Raw genomic sequence first — 16,887 nt, 5'->3', positions numbered from 1 at the left:
TTGCTTGGGCTGGGAGGTCGAGGCTGCAGTGAACCATGATTGCGTCACTGTACAGCAGCCTGGAGAAGAGAGTGAGAGCTTGTCTCAAAGAAAAAAAAAGAAAGAAAGGAAGAAAGAAAGAACGAAAGAAAGAGGAAAGAAGGGAGAAAGGGAGGAAGGGAGGAAGGAAGGAAGGAAGGAAGGAAGGAAGGAAGGAAGGAAGGAAGGAAGGAAGGAAAAAAAAAAAAAGAAAAAGAAAAAATAGAGAGGTGAACAACCCAGGTACCGATGCAGGGAACTGGAGGCAGCCAGGGAATAATGTGTTTTCAAGCAAGTTTCCACTGTAGGCAAGAGAGCTCAGTCTCACTTCGAAGCCCTGAGGGAGAGCATAGGACACATACCTGAGTCATCCCACACAAGGGTTGAGGGAGCTGGGGTATTTATACACTAATTCCCACCAGTTATTATGTGAGGGCTGCTCTCAGGGACATGTTAATTCACTGGCACTTTTGGAATGCTTGTTACACAGACATAGTGGACTCCATCTGCTAGATACAAATGGCTGCAAATGTCACCTCCTCAGGGAAGTCCTCCCTGATTTTTCCAGCTCAAAGAGTGGCATTTTTGCTCAGCATTCACTGCAGCCTATTTCCTTCTAGGTCCTCCTTACCAGCTAGAAATGTCTCATGTATGAGTTTAGGATCTTATCTACCTCCATCATCTGTGAGCTCCAGGAAGGCAGAAACCAAGTTTGGTTAGTTCTCTGCGGCCTCTCCAGCACCTAGCATGTAATAGGCACTCGGGAAACATTTGTTGACTAGACAAAGGCTTACATGAATCTTTTGAAACTGATATTATCGTCTTGTACAAATAAGGAAAACGAGGCTCAGAGAGAGGAAATGACTTGTCTGAGGTCACACAGAGGGAGAGGGGCCAGCTGGTACTCGGCTCCTGGACCGGATTTATGCTGACTCATTTATTCCTCAGAATGGCATTTACTTACCTCTGGCTTTCAAGTAAACATCTGTGGAAGCCTAACAGAGATACAAGAAAGTGCTCCCAAGGGCACAGCTTGATGAATTTTCACAACAGCACACAGCCATGTAACCAGGACCCAGCTCAAGAAATAGAACATGTTAAGCCAAGCGTGGTGGCACACATCTGCAGTCCCAGCCACTACAGAGGCTGAAGCAGGAGGACTGCCTGAGCCCAGGAGTAGGAGACCAGCCTGGGCAACATAGTGAGACCCTGTCTCTTTACAAAAAAAAAAAAATTAAAATTAGCCAGGCATGGTGGCATGCACCTGCAGTCCCAGCTACTCAGGAGGCTGAGGCAGGAGGATTGCCTGAGCCCAGGAATTCAAGGTTGCAGTGACCCACAATCATGCCTGGGAATAGCCACTGTACTCCTGCCTGGGTGACAGAACAAGGCTTCGTCTCTCTGGGCACAGAGGCTGATGCTATTCCTGTATTCCCAGCACTTTGGGAGGCTGAGGCATGAGGATTGCTTGAGCCCAGGAGTTCAAGACAAGCATGGGCAACATAGTGAGGCCCCATCTCTACAAAAAACAAACAAACAAAAAGTTAAAAATTAGTCAGGTAGCATGCACCTGTAGTCCCAGCTACTCGAGAGCCTGAGGTAGGAGGATCGCTTGAGCCCAGGAGGTTGAGAATGCAGTGAGCTGTGATTGTGCCACTGCACTCCAGCTTGGCCAACAGAGCAAGACCCTGTCTCAAAAAAAAATCTTATTAAAAAAAAAAGAACATGCTAAATTTGTGTTATATGAATTTTACCTCAATTAAAAAAAAAATAGGCCAGGCATGGTAGCATGTGCCTATTATCCCAGCTACTTAGGGGGCTGAGGTGGGAGGATCACTTGAGGCCAGGAGTTCAAGAACAGCCTGGGCAACAAAGCAAGACCCTCATCTCAACAACAACAAAAAAATTGTTTTTAATAAGCCAGGTGTGGTGGCATGCAGCTGTAGTCCCAGCTACTCAGGAGGCTAAGGCGAGAGGATCTCTTGAGCCCAGGAGTTAGAGGTTACAGAGAGCTATGATGGCACCACTGCACTCCAGCCTGGATGACAGACCTCATCTACAAAAAATAATAATATTCATATTATGTATAATGTAATATTATTTATATTACTATGTAATATAAATATTATATTTTTATTTTATGAGATCTATATTATTTTTATAGACCTCATTTATAAATAATAATAATAATAAGGGCCGGGCACGGTGGCTTACGCCTATAATACCAGCACTTTGGGAGGCCAAGGCGGGCAGATCATTTCAGGTCAGGAGTTCAAGACCAGCCTGACCAACATGGTGAAACCCCGTCTCTACTAAAAATACAAAAAAATTAGGCAGGCATGGTGGTGAATACCTGTAGTCCCAGCTACTCAGGAGGCTGAGTAGGGAGAATCACTTGAATCCGGGAGGCAGAGATTGCAGTGAGCCAAGATCGTGCCACTGCACACCAGCCTGGGAGACAGAGCGAAACTCCTTCTCGATAAATAAATCAATTAATAATAATAAGAGTAATAATAAATCTTGCCATCTTCCAGAAGCCCCCCTTGTACCCTCTTCCCAGCCACCAGTGCCTCCAAAAGAAACTGATACCCTGCTTGTTAGACATGGTTTTGCCTGCTTTAGGACTTTATGTAAATGGAATCACAAAGTGTATACTCTTCATTGTTTTGGGGTTTTTAAATTTATTTATTATTGCTTTTTAGAGATGGGGTCTCCCGAGGGCAGGGAGGGGAAAAAGAAAAAAAAAAGTTAGATATGAGGTCTCCCTATGTCACCCAGACTGGAGTGCACTGCCTATTCACAGGCATGATCACAGCTCACTGCAGCCTCGAACTCCTGGCCTCAAGCGATCCTCCTCCCTCAGCCTCCTGAATAGCTCAGATTACTGGCATTTTATGGCTTTGGTTTTGGTTTTGGCTCAACATTGTTTGTGATTCACCCAAGTTAAATCATTCTTTAGTTTGTTCTCACTGCTGTATGATATTCTGCTGTGCGAAGAGATCACAATTTATTCCTTCTCCCACTAATGGGTACTTAGGCTGCTTCCAATGTGGGGCTATTATGCATTGTGCTGGGGGGGCATATCTATTGGACGTCTACCTAGCAATGGAATTGCTGAGTCAGAGAAGATCCAGCTAGTAGTGTTAGTAGATCCTGCCAAACCGTTTCCCAACATGAGTGAATGGGTCTACACTCCGGCCAACTGTGGATTAGAGTTCTAGGTGCTTTGTATTCTCGCCAGCATTTGTTCAGCCTGTACTCATTTTGCAGAGAAGGCAACGGAGGCTCAGAGAGAGGGGCAAGTGCTGCCTCCCCGTCAGGGAGGCAGTCTGGGTCCTTCTTGCTAGAAGCCTGGTAACCCACCTCCTCTCTTCTCCTCCCTCGAACCTCCAGCAACCTGCCCGCACTGTGCCCTCCCAGCCTGGCTGTGGGGTGGGGTGGGACAGAGAGGGTCACGTGGAGTTGGGTTCCGAGGGAGGAAGCCAGGCGGGGTGCAGACGGCTGCTGATTCTGGGGCTGGTCAGGAAACCAAGGTAAGGGAGGGAGTGGAGGTGGGGGCAGGGGGATTCCTGGAGGCAGAGCTGAGGGTGGGGAGGGGGCCGAGATGAGGGCAGTATGTGGACAGACACTGGGCACTACTGTCACTCTCTCGTCCCCCAGGAGACCCCCCCCCCCAACCATGGACCCACCGTCGCCAAGCCGGACCTCCCAAACCCAGCCCACAGCCACCTCTCCGCTGACTTCCTACCGCTGGCACACAGGGGGCGGTGGGGAGAAGGCGGCTGGAGGGTTCCGCTGGGGCCGCTTTGCTGGCTGGGGCAGGGCCCTGAGCCACCAGGAGCCCATGGTCAGCACCCAGCCAGCCCCTCGCTCGATATTCCGTCGGGTCCTATCTGCGCCTCCCAAGGAGTCACGGACCAGTCGCCTTCGACTCTCCAAGGCCCTCTGGGGGAGGCATAAGAACCCACCGCCGGAGCCAGACCCGGAGCCGGAGCAGGAGGCCCCAGGTACATGGTTCCCCCACCCTGAGCTTGGGCCGGGCTGGGAAGCCGGATGCTTGGGTTTTGTCTGCCTCCGGAGCATCAACCATACAGACACAGGAAGTTGTGGGGAGTGCAAAAGCCCAGCAGGAAGCCGCTGGGGCCCAGCTACCCTGTTCCCTCTTTCCCCCTAAAGAGGGTAGGAGGAGTTGCCGGGGTCCTGTGGGCAGAGGGTCCATCTGAGGAAGGAACAGTGAATGTAAACCCGTGATAGTATTGTCCAGAGGCTAAACGGCTCTTGGCCCCAACGGGTCTCTCCTTCAATGGCTCAGGCCCATCCTTTCCTACCTGGATATCCATCTTCAGCCTGCCTCCTACTCTCCTACCTTCTAGCTTCCGTGTCTTTGTTCTGAGCCCTTAAGCCTCAGCCTCTCCATCAGTTCAGTGAGAATAATGATCTCCATTTTGGAGAGTATATAATTTTATTTGCTCATATTCATTCATTTATTCAAGCAGAGGTTTGTTGAGCTTCTATTGTATGTGCCAGGCCCTGATTTAGGCACTGAGGACACACTAGTGAAAGAGACAGATGACCCTCCCTGCCCCATGGAGCTCACAGTGTAGTGGAATTGACAGGAAATCCATCAACAAGAAAATGACAGATGGGCCAGGCATGATGGCTCACACCTGTAATCCCAGCACTTTGGGAGGCCAAGGTGGGTGGATCACCTGAGCTCAGGAGTTCGAGACCAGCCTGGCCAACATGGCAAAACCCTGTTTCTACTAAAAATACAAAAAAAAAAAAGTATCTAGGCATGGTGGCACATACCTGTACTCCCAGCTACTCAGGAGGCTGAGGCAGGATAATCGCTTGAACCCGGGAGGTGGAGGTTGCAGTGAGCTGAGATTGCACTACTGCACTCCCGCCTGGGCGACAGAGGGAGACTCCATCTCAATGGAAGAAAAAAAAAAAAAAGAAAGAAAAAAAATGACAGATGGTGCTAAGTGTCACACAGGGGGATCTAGAAGAGTAATGGATATCACAAGAATTAGGGCTCAGGAATGTAACACTAGCCTAGGGCCCAGCATTTTTTTTATTTTTTTTTTGAGATGGAGTCTCGCTCTGTTGCCCAGGCTGGAGTGCAGTGGCGCGATCTCGGCTCACCGCAAGCTCCGCCTCCTGGGTTCACGCCATTCTCCTGCCTCAGCCTCCTGAGCAGCTGGGACTACAGGAACCCGCCACCATGCCCAGCTAATTGTTGTATTTCTAGTAGAGACAGGGTTTCACTGTGTTAACCAGAATGGTCTCGATCTCCTGACCTCATGATCCGCCCGCCTCAGCCTCCCAAAGTGCTGGGATTACAGGCGTGAGCCACCGCGCCCGGCCCCAGGCCCAACATATTTTAAGTGATCCGTTAATAAGCGGGAGTTATCATTTATTGCTCCTGGTGGTAAAAACAAGGGAACAGACAGGCAATCTGGGAGGGCTAATTCAGCCCTCCTATTTCCTGGAAGCTCATTTAATTCTCACTGCTTATATTCCCATTTTGTTTTTGTTTTTGTTTTTGTTTTGAGACACAGTCTCACTTCCTTGCCCAGGCTGGAGTGCAGTGGCGGAATCTCAGCTCACTGCAACCTCTGCCTCCCAAGTTCAAGAGATTCTCCTGCCTCAGCCTCCTGAGTAACTGGGATTACAGGCATGTGCCACCACGCCTGGCTAATTTTGTATTTTTAGTAGAGACGGGGTTTCTCCATGTTGGTCAGGCTGGTTTTGAACTCCCAGCCTCAGATGATCCACCCGCCTAGGCCTCCCAAAGTGCTAGGATTACAGGTGTGAGCCACAGAGCCCAGGCACATCAGGCTATTTTTTAAAGACAGGGTCTTGTTATGTTGCCCAGGCTGGTCTCAAACTCCTGGTCTCAAGCAATCTGCCCCACCTCGGCCTCCCAAATGTTGGGATTACAGGCATGAGCCACCTTGCCCAGCCCCTGTCCTGTTTTTTAACCTCTTGGACCCACATAATGTCTTGGTTAAGAGAAGAATGCAAAAAAAACAAAAAAACAAAAAAAGAGAGAGAGAGAAGAATGCTTGTGACTGAAGCCCAGCCCAACCACTCACAAACTGTGTGACCCTGAGCAAGTCACTCAACCTCTCTGAGCCTGTTATCATAGCCCTTTGAATGGCTTTTGGAGGATTCAATGCAAGAAGGTGTGTGGAGTGGTATACAGGGTACTGGGCACATGGTAGGTGAGTTGTGTCTGCTACCCATGGTTAGTGGGGACAAGGCCCAGACAGCGATGAAAGCTTGCCCAAGGTCATACAGTCTGATACGGCTGCTGGGGTGGGGGGCACCTAGGAGGGAACCCACCATGAGCCTTCGGGAATGGAAAGGGTAGCCTGAGGGAGAGAAAACGTCTCTTAAGTCCCCCAGTGCCTCCTCTTCTTCCCAGAGCTGGAGCCGGAGCCAGAGCTGGAGCCCCCTACCCCACAGATCCCTGAGGCCCCCACACCCAACGTGCCTGTCTGGGACATTGGGGGCTTCACCCTGCTTGATGGGAAGCTGGTGCTGCTTGGAGGAGAGGAGGAGGTGAGAGGGGGCACCTGGGAAAGGGGAGGAGGGAAGAAAGAAAAAGGAGGAGGGCAGAACAGAGGCAGGGGCTGGAGGGAGGATAATGGGAAGGTGTCTGCCTCTCCCTCGGTCTGCCTGCCTGCCTGCCTGCCTGCCTCCCCTCTCTGACTACCCACTCCTGCGGGAGAACAGGGTCCTCGAAGGCCCCGGGTGGGAAGTGCTAGCTCCGAGGGCAGCATCCACGTGGCCATGGGGAACTTCAGGGATCCAGGTAAGCTTGAGGGGTGGAAAGGCCTGGGGCATTTGGGAGGCTCTAAAAGTGGGGCAGAATCCAACCCCCCAACCTGCCACCCATAACGACCCACAGATCGGATGCCTGGAAAAACAGAACCGGAGACTGCTGGTCCCAACCAGGTCCACAACGTTCGGGTAAGGCAGCCAGTGAAGGTGGGAGGTAGAGGGGAGAGCCAAGACTCTCGGACCCTCAAAGCTGAAAGGGCACTCTTGCTGGGTGATCTGGAGCAGGTTGCTGACCCTCTTTGGGCCTCAGAGTCCCAGTCTGTCAAATGAAGCTAATGAAATAACCTTTCTCTAGGGGTTGTTTATGGGAAGCCAATAGAGAGTGCAGGAGCCAGGCAGGGCAGTGCGCAGCTATAGTCCAAGCTACTCGGGAGGCTGAGCAGAGAGCACTGCTTGAGGCCAGGAGTTCAACACCAGCCTAAGCAACATGGGGAGACTTCATCTCTTAAATAAATAAATGAATAGTATAGGAGAATATATGATTGATGCTTTACAAATGGGAGTTTGGGCCAGGCACAGTGGTTCACACCTGTAATCCCAACATTTTGGGAGGCTGAAGCAGAAGGATTGCTTGAGACCAGGAGTTCAAGACCAGCCTGGGCAACATAGCAAGTCCCCAATTCTACATGGTAACATTCACCTGTAGTCCCAGCTGAGGCAAGAGGATCACTTGAGCCCAGAAATTTGAGGCTGCAGTGAGCCATGATCGCACCACTGTACTCCAGCCTGGGCGACAGCACGAGACCCTGTCTTAAAAAAACAAATGAACAAAGAATTAGGAGCTGCTGATTGCTCTTATTATTCCTGCTAATACAGCCTGAGCTTGGTGTTGGTCCTCCAAGACCAGTAGATCCTCTGGGATGTCTTGGGAGGGAAGGAGCTGAGGAAGGAGCACAGATTTCTGTCCAGCTGACATTCCCTTCCCCACAGGGGTTGCTCAAGAGGCTGAAAGAGAAGAAAAAGGCCAGGTTGGAGCCCCGGGATGGGTAAGGGTGTATGAGAGGCTGGAGGGGCTGGGGTTCAACACTGGCCCCTCCTCCTCCACCTCCTGCATATCATTCCAATCTACACCAAACACCCCCTGTGGCCTCTGTGTTCTGCCCCACATCAGTTGATGCTGGGGACATTGAATGATCTAGCACAGAGCCAGGGTGGGGGCAAAGTCTGACACAATAACTCTAAAATGGGAGCTAAGTCAATCAACTGGTCTGGGAGGGTTAGGGAAGGTACCCTTGAGCTGAGATCTGAAGGGTGGATGGAAGTTAACTAGGCCAACAGGGGGGTGGAAAAAGCATTCCAGGCAGAAGGAACAACAAGTGCAAAGGCCAAGAGGCCGAAAGAAGCAACTAAAACAAGGCCAAGAGGGCTGGGTGAAGTGGCTCCCAGCACTTTGGGAGGCCAAAGTGGGCAGACTGCTTGAGTCTAGGAGTTCGAGACCAGCCTGGGCAACATAGTGAGACCCCATTTCTACAAAAAATACAAAAATTAGCTAGGCATGGTGGCGGGCACCTGTAGTCCCACCTACTGGGGAGGCTGAGTGGGAGGATTGCTTGAGCCTGGGAAGTTGAGGCTGCAGTGCACAGAGATCATGCCACTGCACTCCAGCCTGGGCAACAGAGCAAGATTGTGTCTCAAAAATAAATAGGGCTGGGTGCGGTGGCTCACACCTGTAATCCCACAGTTTGGGAGGCAGAGGCAGGTGGAACATTTGAGGTCAGGAGTTCAAGACCAGCCTGGCCAACGTGGTGAAATCCCATCTCTACTTAAAATACAAAATTAGCCAGGCATGGTGGCGAATGCCTGTAATCCCAGTTACTCAGGAGGCTGAGGCAGAAGAATCGCTTAAACCTGGGAGGTGGACATTGCAGTGAGCCAAGATTGTGCCACTGCACTCCTGCCTGGGCAAAAGGGCAAGACTCCATCTCAATAAATAAATAAATAAATAAATAGGGCTGGGCACGGTGGCTCACACCTGTAATCCCACACTTTGGTGAGGCTGAGGCGGGTGGATCACTTGGGATCAGGAGTTCAAGACCAGCCTGGCCAACATGGTGAAACCCCACCTCTACTAAAAATATAAAAATTAGAAAATTAGCCAGGCATGGTGGTGGGCACCTGTGATCCCAGCTACTTGGGAGGCTGAGGAAGGAAAATCACTTGAACCTGGAAGGCAGAGGTTGCAGTGAGCTGAGATCCAGCCACCGCACTAAACAAGACTCTGTCTCAAATAAATAAATAAATAAATAAATAGGATAAAATAAAACAAGGCCAGGGAGGCTGGAGCTCAGAAAGTGATGGATTAGGTGGAGGGAGATGAGGTGACAACATCTGGACCCAGCTTGGTCATGTAGGTCACCAGGAGTTGAGTTTATCCTAAAAGCAAGGAGGTGCCATGGCGGGGGGTGGGGGGGGCACGGGGGAGAAACGGGATCCGAATTGGGTTGAAGTCCTTCCTGGCCTTCCTCTACCCTTCAGGCTATGGGGGATGGGGAAGAGGCAGGAATGACGGTGTGCTCACCCACCCCCTTCCCAGACCCCCCAGTGCTCTGGGCTCTAGGGAGTCGCTGGCCACACTCTCTGAACTGGACCTGGGTGCCGAGCGGGATGTGCGGATCTGGCCACTGCACCCCAGCCTCCTGGGGGAGCCCCACTGCTTTCAGGTAAGTGTAGACAGTCCACCTCGATTCCACCTCAGTCCCACCTCCCACCCTTTGGCTTCACCCTTGGCCTCGATCACACCGTTGGATTCTCCATCCCAACAGGTAACCTGGACGGGTGGAAGCCGCTGCTTCTCTTGTCGCTCGGCCGCTGAGAGAGACCGCTGGATCGAGGACCTTCGTCGCCAATTCCAGCCCACCCAGGTCATTGCCCTCAGAAAAGCGGGACACGGAGACCCCGCCCACAGGCCTGGCCCGCCCCTTCCACTCTACCCAAAGCCAGCTCGCTCCATAACCCGCGCCCCCAACACACCTGCCCCGCCTGCATCGTTGCAACGGCTCCAAGACTCCCCTTCCATCTATTACCAGCCCCGGGAATATCAGACCCGCCCCTTCTGTCCACTCCCGGCCCCATATGCACCCAAAGCCCTGCCTGCCAGGCAATCGCGAAGTCTTTACTCCAGTACTACTCTTGTATGCCCTGGAGCCCCCAACTCTCCCGGAGAGCCCAGAAAAGCTAGAAGACTTCCGCGTAACCGCCTCCGGACTCCCGTGGCTCCACTTCTTTCCCCAAAGGCCCAGCAATCTCCCTAGGGACCCGACGCAACAGGTTTGAGGCTCCACGCTTCACTTGCGGTGCCTTCTTTGGGGTGCCAACAAACCAAAACGCTTCCCCCCATCCCACTCCCATCTGCAGGACAACGTGGAGCGGGAAGAGACATGGCTGAGCGTGTGGGTGCACGAAGCGAAGGGGCTTCCCCGAGCAGCGGCGGGGGCACCCGGCGTGCGCGCCGAGCTGTGGCTGGATGGCGCGCTGCTGGCACGCACGGCGCCTCGGGCCGGCCCAGGCCAGCTCTTCTGGGCCGAGCGCTTCCACTTCGAGGCGCTGCCACCGGCACGTCGCCTGTCGCTGCGGCTGCGCGGCTTGGGCCCGGGAAGCGCGGTGCTGGGCCGCGTGGCCCTGGCGCTGGAGGAGCTGGACGCCCCACGCGCGCCTGCCGCCGGTCTGGAGCGCTGGTTCCCGCTGCTCGGGGCGCCGGCGGGCGCAGCGCTGCGGGCGCGGATTCGGGCGCGTCGCCTGCGCGTGCTGCCGTCCGAGCGCTACAAGGAGCTGGCGGAGTTCCTCACCTTCCACTATGCGCGCCTCTGCGGGGCCCTGGAGCCCGCGCTGCCTGCGCAGGCCAAGGAGGAGCTGGCGGCAGCCATGGTGCGCGTGCTGCGGGCCACCGGCCGGGCGCAGGTGCGGCACCGCGACAGCGCGGACCGGGGCTACCAGGGGTAGACCGATAACGCGCTTCGGGCAGGAGTTGGGGCGCAGGACCTGAGTTGCACCTGTAATGGGGGAGACACCTTGAAGGGGTGTGAGGGGCGTGGTCCAAGTGTCACCTGTAAGCGGCGGGGCACCTAGAAGGGCGGGGCACCTAGAAGGGCGGGGCCTGAACATCACCCGTAAGGGGCGGGGCACCTTGAAGGGCGGGACCTGAGCGTCAGCTGTGAGGGGCTGGGGCTGAGCTGCACCTGTAAGGGGCGGGGCACCTTGAAGGACTGGGCCTGAGCTTCAGCTGTGAGGGGCGGGGCCTAATTATCACCCATAAGGGGCGGGACACCTTGAAGAGCGGAGCCTAAGCTTCAGCTGCGACAGGGGCCTGAGCATCACGCGTGAGGGGCGGGGCCCAGGTTGCACCTCAGCGCTGAAAGGCTTAAATTTCTGCTGTGAGGGTTAGAGGTTCCGGCCTCGGTTATGAGCCCCAGCAGTAAGGACTGGGCCTAAGCATCAGCTACAAGGGGCGGGGCCTGTGCCTCTGGTGTGAGGGACCAGCCAAGGATCCGAATTCCCTTGGACTCTGTCTGCATCTGGTGCAACCTGACCTCCTGCCCTTCCTAGGCGCTGGTGACTGACCTGGGCACTGCGGAGCTGGCGCGCTGTGGAGGCCGTGAGGCGCTGCTGTTCCGGGAAAACACATTGGCCACCAAGGCTATCGATGAGTACATGAAGCTCGTGGCACAGGATTACCTCCAGGAGACCCTGGGTGAGCTGGGGGAGAGTCCATGTCAGCGGCCTGCTGGTGAGCTAGGGGACCTGGGTGAAGTTCTAAGAGTCCTTGAGCAACCTGGATTCTGGTAGTGAGTGGTGTTTTGGGGGTGCTAGGATCCTGGGGACAATTGGGAGCTCCCCAAGATGTTGGGTGCCTCCGGAATAACCTGAAGACAAGGTTGGAGGATGGGTGTGGCAGGTTTTGGTGGTCATGGCCCCAGCCCCTATCTGGCTGTGCTGGGCTGCAGGACAGGTTGTGCGGCGTCTCTGTGCTTCTACTGAGGACTGTGAAGTGGACCCCAGCAAATGTCCAGCCTCGGAGCTGCCAGAGCACCAGGCCAGACTTCGGAACAGCTGCGAGGAGGTCTTCGAAACCATTATCCATTCCTACGAGTGAGAATCAGGGCCCCAGCAGCTTAGCCCACCCCTGCTTACCATGCTAGCCCCGACCTCCAGTTTAGGGTGGCCAGATAAAATACAGGAGACACTCAGTTAAATTTGATGCAATAATTGGGACCATGCTTATACTAAAAAATTACTCATTTGAACCAGGCATGGTGACTCACGCCCGTAATCCCAATGCTTTAGGAGGCCGAGACAAGAGGATTGCTTGAGCCCAGGAGTTCAAGGCCAGTCTGGGCAACATAGCAAGACTCCATCTCTCCAAAAAGCTTTTTAAAAATGAGCTAGGCATGGTGGCACACACCTGTATTCCCAGCCGAGGCTGGAGGATCGCTTGAGCGCAGGATTCAAGGCTGCAGTGAGCTATGATCATGCCACAGCACCCCAGCCTGGTTGACAGAGACCCTGTCCCAAATAAAAGTAAAAATATAAATAAAAATCACTCCGTTATCTGAAATTCATGTTTAACTGGATGTCCTGAAGTTTCGTTTGCTGCATCTGGCAACCCTATCACCATGCAACCCTATCACCACTGACCCCAAGTAACCTGAGACCCAATTCCTTGTCCTGTAACCACAGTTGATTCCATATCCCCAATTTCATGCCACTGGCTCCAGTTAACATAGGACCTCAATCCTATGACCAGATGATGCCCCAAGTCCATGATCCCTGGCTTTAAGTGACCCTCCACCTCAAATCCCATGCAACTGATCACAGGAGACCTGGGATTCCAATCCCTTGACCTCTGACCCTAGGTTAACCTGCATACCTAATCCCTGACTTCAATCAAGTGACTTCTGACCCTAGGTGACCTCCAGAGCCCCAATCCTACTTTATATCTTGTACTCTGGCCCACCAGTCTCATGTCTAATTATAAGTACATCCAAGCTCATAACCTCTGTCTTCATGTGACCCTGTATCCCCAACTATAAGAGTATTATCCCCAGCGATTGCCATAGCTACACCATAAGCCATGGCCCCATGCTGATTCATAACCCCAAGCATTGTTATCTCAGATATTCCCAATCCTAGAGCCCAGACCCCAGGTTCAGTGAGAAGGAAGCCTGCATGGGCTTCATGAATAGCTCTCTGGAGGATCATGGACCAATCATGCAGTGCTTCTGGGACTCCCAACCTTATGACTTTAACCTTTATGCCCATAGCCTCCCCGTCTGACCATTCATTGCCTCTTCTGCACCAGCTGGTTCCCTGCGGAGCTGGGCATCGTGTTCTCAAGCTGGCGAGAAGCATGTAAAGAACGTGGCTCTGAGGTGCTGGGCCCCCGACTGGTGTGCGCCTCCCTCTTCCTGCGGCTCCTGTGCCCTGCCATCCTGGCACCCAGCCTCTTTGGTTTGGCACCAGACCATCCAGCACCCGGCCCAGCCCGCACCCTCACACTGATTGCCAAGGTCATCCAGAACCTCGCCAACCGTGCCCCGTAGGTGCTGGGAAGCTAGGGGTGGGGGGACCATGCTGGGAGTGTGGGGGTGGCAGGTGCCTGACCTGACCCACCCAGCCTGGCCCTGATCCAGGTTCGGTGAGAAGGAGGCCTACATGGGCTTCATGAATAGCTTCCTGGAGGAACATGGACCAGCCATGCAATGCTTCCTGGACCAGGTAGCCATGGTGGATGTGGATGCTGCCCCCAGTGGTTACCAGGGCAGTGGTGATCTGGCCCTCCAGTTAGCTGTCCTGCATGCCCAGCTCTGTACAATTTTTGCTGAGCTTGACCAGGTATGGCCTGAACCCAGAGTAGGGAGGCAAGAAGGCTTGGGAGACTCTGACCCTGGAGACTTTGCTCAGTCTCTGTCCTGCATGCCTCACCAGACAACCCGAGACACCCTGGAACCACTGCCCACCATCCTGCGAGCCATTGAGGAGGGCCAGCCTGTGCTTGTGTCAGTGCCAATGCGTCTCCCACTGCCCCCGGCCCAGGTCCACTCCAGGTAACCTCAAGTCTGGTCTGGGGTCTGATGGGTGGGAACAGGAAGGAGCAGGGCTCAGACAGGGGTCAGAGGTGAAGTTGGATCATTGTGAGCAGAGGTCAAGCCCAGGGTCAGACGGGAATCACAGGTTATAGAAAGGGTTGGGTCAAAGGTCACAGTGTGTTTGAGGTCGGGGATGAGAGGAGAGGTTAGGGTGGAGAGATGTCAAGGGTCATAGAGAGGACAGTATTATAGTCAGAAGTCAAGGACAGGAGCCAGGCTCAGTGGCTCATGCCTGTAATCCCAGCACTTTGGGAGGCTGAGGCAGGAGGATCACTTGAGGCCAGGAACTTAAGACAAGCCTGGGCAACATAGGGAGACCCCATCTCTACCAAAAAAAAAAAAAATTACCTGGGTATAGTGGCATGTGCTGGTAGTCCTAGATATTTGGGAGGCTGAGGCTGGGGAATAGCTTGAGCTCCAGAATTCAAGGCTGCAGTGAGCTATGATCTAGCCACTGCACTCCAGCCTGGGCGACAGAGCAAGACCTTGTCTCAAAAAAAAAAAAGAAAGGACAAGTTCACGTGGGGGGTGAGGTCACTTCTGGTCAGGTCGGGATGGGGTCGTCTCAGGGGCCAGTGGAGGGTCTAAGATCCTCCATCCCACCCCTAGCCTCTCCGCAGGGGAGAAGCCCGGCTTCCTGGCCCCCCGGGACCTCCCCAAGCACACCCCTCTCATCTCCAAGAGCCAGTCTCTGCGCAGCGTTCGCCGCTCAGAGAGTTGGGCCCGGCCACGGCCGGACGAAGAGCGGCCCCTGCGGCGGCCCCGGCCGGTGCAGCGCACGCAGAGTGTCCCGGTCCGGCGTCCTGCCCGCCGCCGCCAATCTGCGGGGCCCTGGCCGCGACCCAAAGGCTCCCTGAGCATGGGACCAGCGCCCCGCGCCCGGCCTTGGACCCGGGACTCCGCCTCGCTGCCTCGGAAGCCGTCGGTACCCTGGCAGCGCCAAATGGACCAGCCGCAAGACCGAAACCAGGCACTGGGCACGCACCGACCTGTGAACAAGGTAAGGTCAGGCCCAGGTCCGCGCCTGGGGAGTGGGAACAGGGACGCGACTGGGGAAGACTGAAGGGCCAGGCAAGTCTGGGTTCAAGTACCCAGCTCGCTGTGCTGTGTGACCCCAGGCCTAGCCCGACCCTCTCTGAGCTTCAGTCTCCCCAGCTGTACCGCAGGAGGGATGTTCCCCAACTAGGCAGGCCGGTGATGACGCTGAGCGCTTGGGCCTGGGAGGTCAGGGTCTCCGGGGAGACACAGGGGCGGGACAACGGGTCAGATTACAGCTGCTCTCCCACCACAGTTGGCAGAGCTGCAGTGCGAGGTGGCCGCTCTGCGTGAGGAGCAGAAAGTGCTGTCCCGCCTCGTGGAGTCGCTGAGCACCCAAATCCGGGCCTTGACGGAGCAGCAGGAGCAGCTGCGGGGCCAGCTGCAGGATCTGGACTCCAGGCTCCGTGCTGGGTGAGCCCAGCCCTCTCCATTAGCTCCGCCCCCAGGTGGGCCCGATCCAATTAGATCTGACCAGGCCCTCCCCCCCCCCCCCAAACCACGCCTAGCACGGCCAAGCCCCACCCTGGCCCCGCCCCAATAAGTCTGTCCAGGCCCTGCCTCTTGGCAAGCCCCGCCCCCAGGTGGACCCACCCAACGAAGGTCGGCCTAGGACCCTGGCAGATTCTCTCATCCAGGCCCCACCCCTCCATCAGCCCCTCCCAACCTGGCTGGGCCGGGCACTGAGATATCTCAGCCTGGGCACTCCCTCCAGCTCAGTCACGACCCCACCCAGGACTGGCCAAACCCCACCTCCAAGGGATGATTGATAGGTCCTGTCATTCCAACCATTCCCGTCTCTGGTCCGACCCTTCTTCAAGCATATTTAGGCCCCGCCCCTCAGTCTGGACAAGCTCCGCCTCCACTCCAAGCTCCGCCCCCGGAGTCCCTGGCACTCCCACCAGGAGCTGGAAGGGACTTCCTTAGCCTCTGCCCTTCGCCCCAATCCCCCGACCCCCACAGGAGCTCAGAGTTTGATTCAGAGCACAACCTAACAAGCAATGAAGGGCACAGTCTGAAAAACCTGGTGAGATTGCCATCTGAGCCCTGGGGCAGGTCTGGGCGGTGGAGGAGCAAGGGTTGCGGTGCAGCCCTCTCCTGGTTTCTGAACCCCATCACCACTGCCTCCCCAGGAGCACCGCCTAAATGAGATGGAGAGAACTCAGGCTCAGCTGAGGGATGCTGTCCAGAGCCTGCAGCTTTCTCCAAGGACGCGGGGGTCTTGGAGTCAACCCCAGCCCCTCAAAGCACCCTGCCTCAATGGAGACACCACCTGAGCTGCCCATCCTGCCTCATCACACGTGGTCTGGGAGCAGAGAGATAGCCATCTTAGGGGGGGTGTCTGACTTTGCCTTAGCCCTACTTGGCCTACAGTGGGGAGTGGAGCTGCTGGTCCCAACCACTCTGGCAGTATGAAGTTGCCCAGTAAAATCTTGATTTCAGTGAAATTGGTGGTTTCTTTGCCCACTAAGAATTGCCAATTCTTAGGCATTTGCCCCGCAAGCCCTATTCATCTCTCCCAAATTCTCCCCTAATTAGAAGTCTCATGGAGAGGGCCATGTACACAAGTTCTCACCAGCTGTGTGACCTTAGACCTTCATTCTCTTAAGAGCCCGTTTTCTTATCTGTGAAATGGACGTAAAGTTCCCTACACAGTGAGAGGACCCATAGTTAAAGGCATTCGATAAAAGGTATTCACCATTGTTATAGGCAGCACCTGCTTCTCAATGAAGCATGGATTCCACCCCTGGCAACCTCCCAATCCCACAGTGAGAGCATCTTCCTAGGCCCTCCTCATGTCACGGAGGCCATGGGTCTGGGAGGCGGATAAAGGAAGGGGGTCAGGTGTGGAGATGGTTGGATACTGTGTATGAATGATTGGGTAAATGAGTCATTCAAATCA

At 54.7% G+C, this 16,887-nt stretch overlaps 1 protein-coding gene across 13 annotated transcripts, besides 4 other annotated features; it reads left to right on the top strand.

Moving 5' to 3' along the window:
* Positions 3,169 to 3,278: an enhancer, noted in NCBI's record as "active region_14188". NCBI's record gives its function as "activates an Ori minimal core promoter by ATAC-STARR-seq in GM12878 lymphoblastoid cells {active_cell/tissue: GM12878}" and the evidence as "EXISTENCE:reporter gene assay evidence [ECO:0000049][PMID:35858748]".
* Positions 3,512 to 16,432, top strand: RASAL3 (RAS protein activator like 3). 13 transcript variants are annotated; one of them, NR_174478.1, is made up of 18 exons: positions 3,512 to 3,551; positions 3,679 to 4,025; positions 6,449 to 6,585; positions 6,760 to 6,838; positions 6,935 to 6,996; positions 7,798 to 7,853; positions 9,401 to 9,527; positions 9,630 to 9,728; positions 10,222 to 10,764; positions 11,410 to 11,554; positions 11,808 to 11,923; positions 13,163 to 13,399; positions 13,494 to 13,695; positions 13,789 to 13,907; positions 14,559 to 14,949; positions 15,241 to 15,398; positions 15,948 to 16,011; positions 16,118 to 16,432. NR_174478.1 is itself a non-coding variant. In XM_011528186.2 (18 exons), the coding sequence occupies exons 2-18, from the start codon at positions 3,698 to 3,700 to the stop codon at positions 16,259 to 16,261; spliced, it is 3,027 nt and encodes a 1,008-aa protein (XP_011526488.1). In that variant the 5' UTR covers positions 3,512 to 3,551; positions 3,679 to 3,697; the 3' UTR covers positions 16,262 to 16,432. The 13 variants fall into 13 exon arrangements, 11 of the variants coding, with proteins under 11 accessions (XP_011526488.1, NP_001387307.1, NP_001387306.1 ...); XM_011528186.2 differs by having other exon boundaries at positions 7,798 to 7,835; positions 13,125 to 13,399; NM_001400378.1 differs by having other exon boundaries at positions 7,798 to 7,835; positions 11,808 to 11,952.
* Positions 3,919 to 4,048: an enhancer, noted in NCBI's record as "active region_14187". NCBI's record gives its function as "activates an Ori minimal core promoter by ATAC-STARR-seq in GM12878 lymphoblastoid cells {active_cell/tissue: GM12878}" and the evidence as "EXISTENCE:reporter gene assay evidence [ECO:0000049][PMID:35858748]".
* Positions 4,149 to 4,288: an enhancer, noted in NCBI's record as "active region_14186". NCBI's record gives its function as "activates an Ori minimal core promoter by ATAC-STARR-seq in GM12878 lymphoblastoid cells {active_cell/tissue: GM12878}" and the evidence as "EXISTENCE:reporter gene assay evidence [ECO:0000049][PMID:35858748]".
* Positions 15,601 to 15,670: an enhancer, noted in NCBI's record as "active region_14185". NCBI's record gives its function as "activates an Ori minimal core promoter by ATAC-STARR-seq in GM12878 lymphoblastoid cells {active_cell/tissue: GM12878}" and the evidence as "EXISTENCE:reporter gene assay evidence [ECO:0000049][PMID:35858748]".

Source organism: Homo sapiens, chromosome 19 (assembly GCF_000001405.40).
Source record: "Homo sapiens chromosome 19, GRCh38.p14 Primary Assembly".
Taxonomy (NCBI): domain Eukaryota; kingdom Metazoa; phylum Chordata; class Mammalia; order Primates; family Hominidae; genus Homo; species Homo sapiens.
Note: the sequence above shows the minus strand (reverse complement) of the source record. Positions and strands in the feature narration are given on the sequence as shown.

Bases quoted from the DNA above. Each gene is read 5' to 3' on its own strand.
- RASAL3 (NM_001400377.1), top strand. From the start codon at position 3,698: ATGGACCCACCGTCGCCAAGCCGGACCTCCCAAACCCAGCCCACAGCC. The intron at 13,696-13,788 runs GTATGGCCTGAA...ATGCCTCACCAG, and splicing joins TTTTTGCTGAGCTTGACCAG to ACAACCCGAGACACCCTGGA. The intron at 14,950-15,240 runs GTAAGGTCAGGC...CTCCCACCACAG, and splicing joins CGCACCGACCTGTGAACAAG to TTGGCAGAGCTGCAGTGCGA.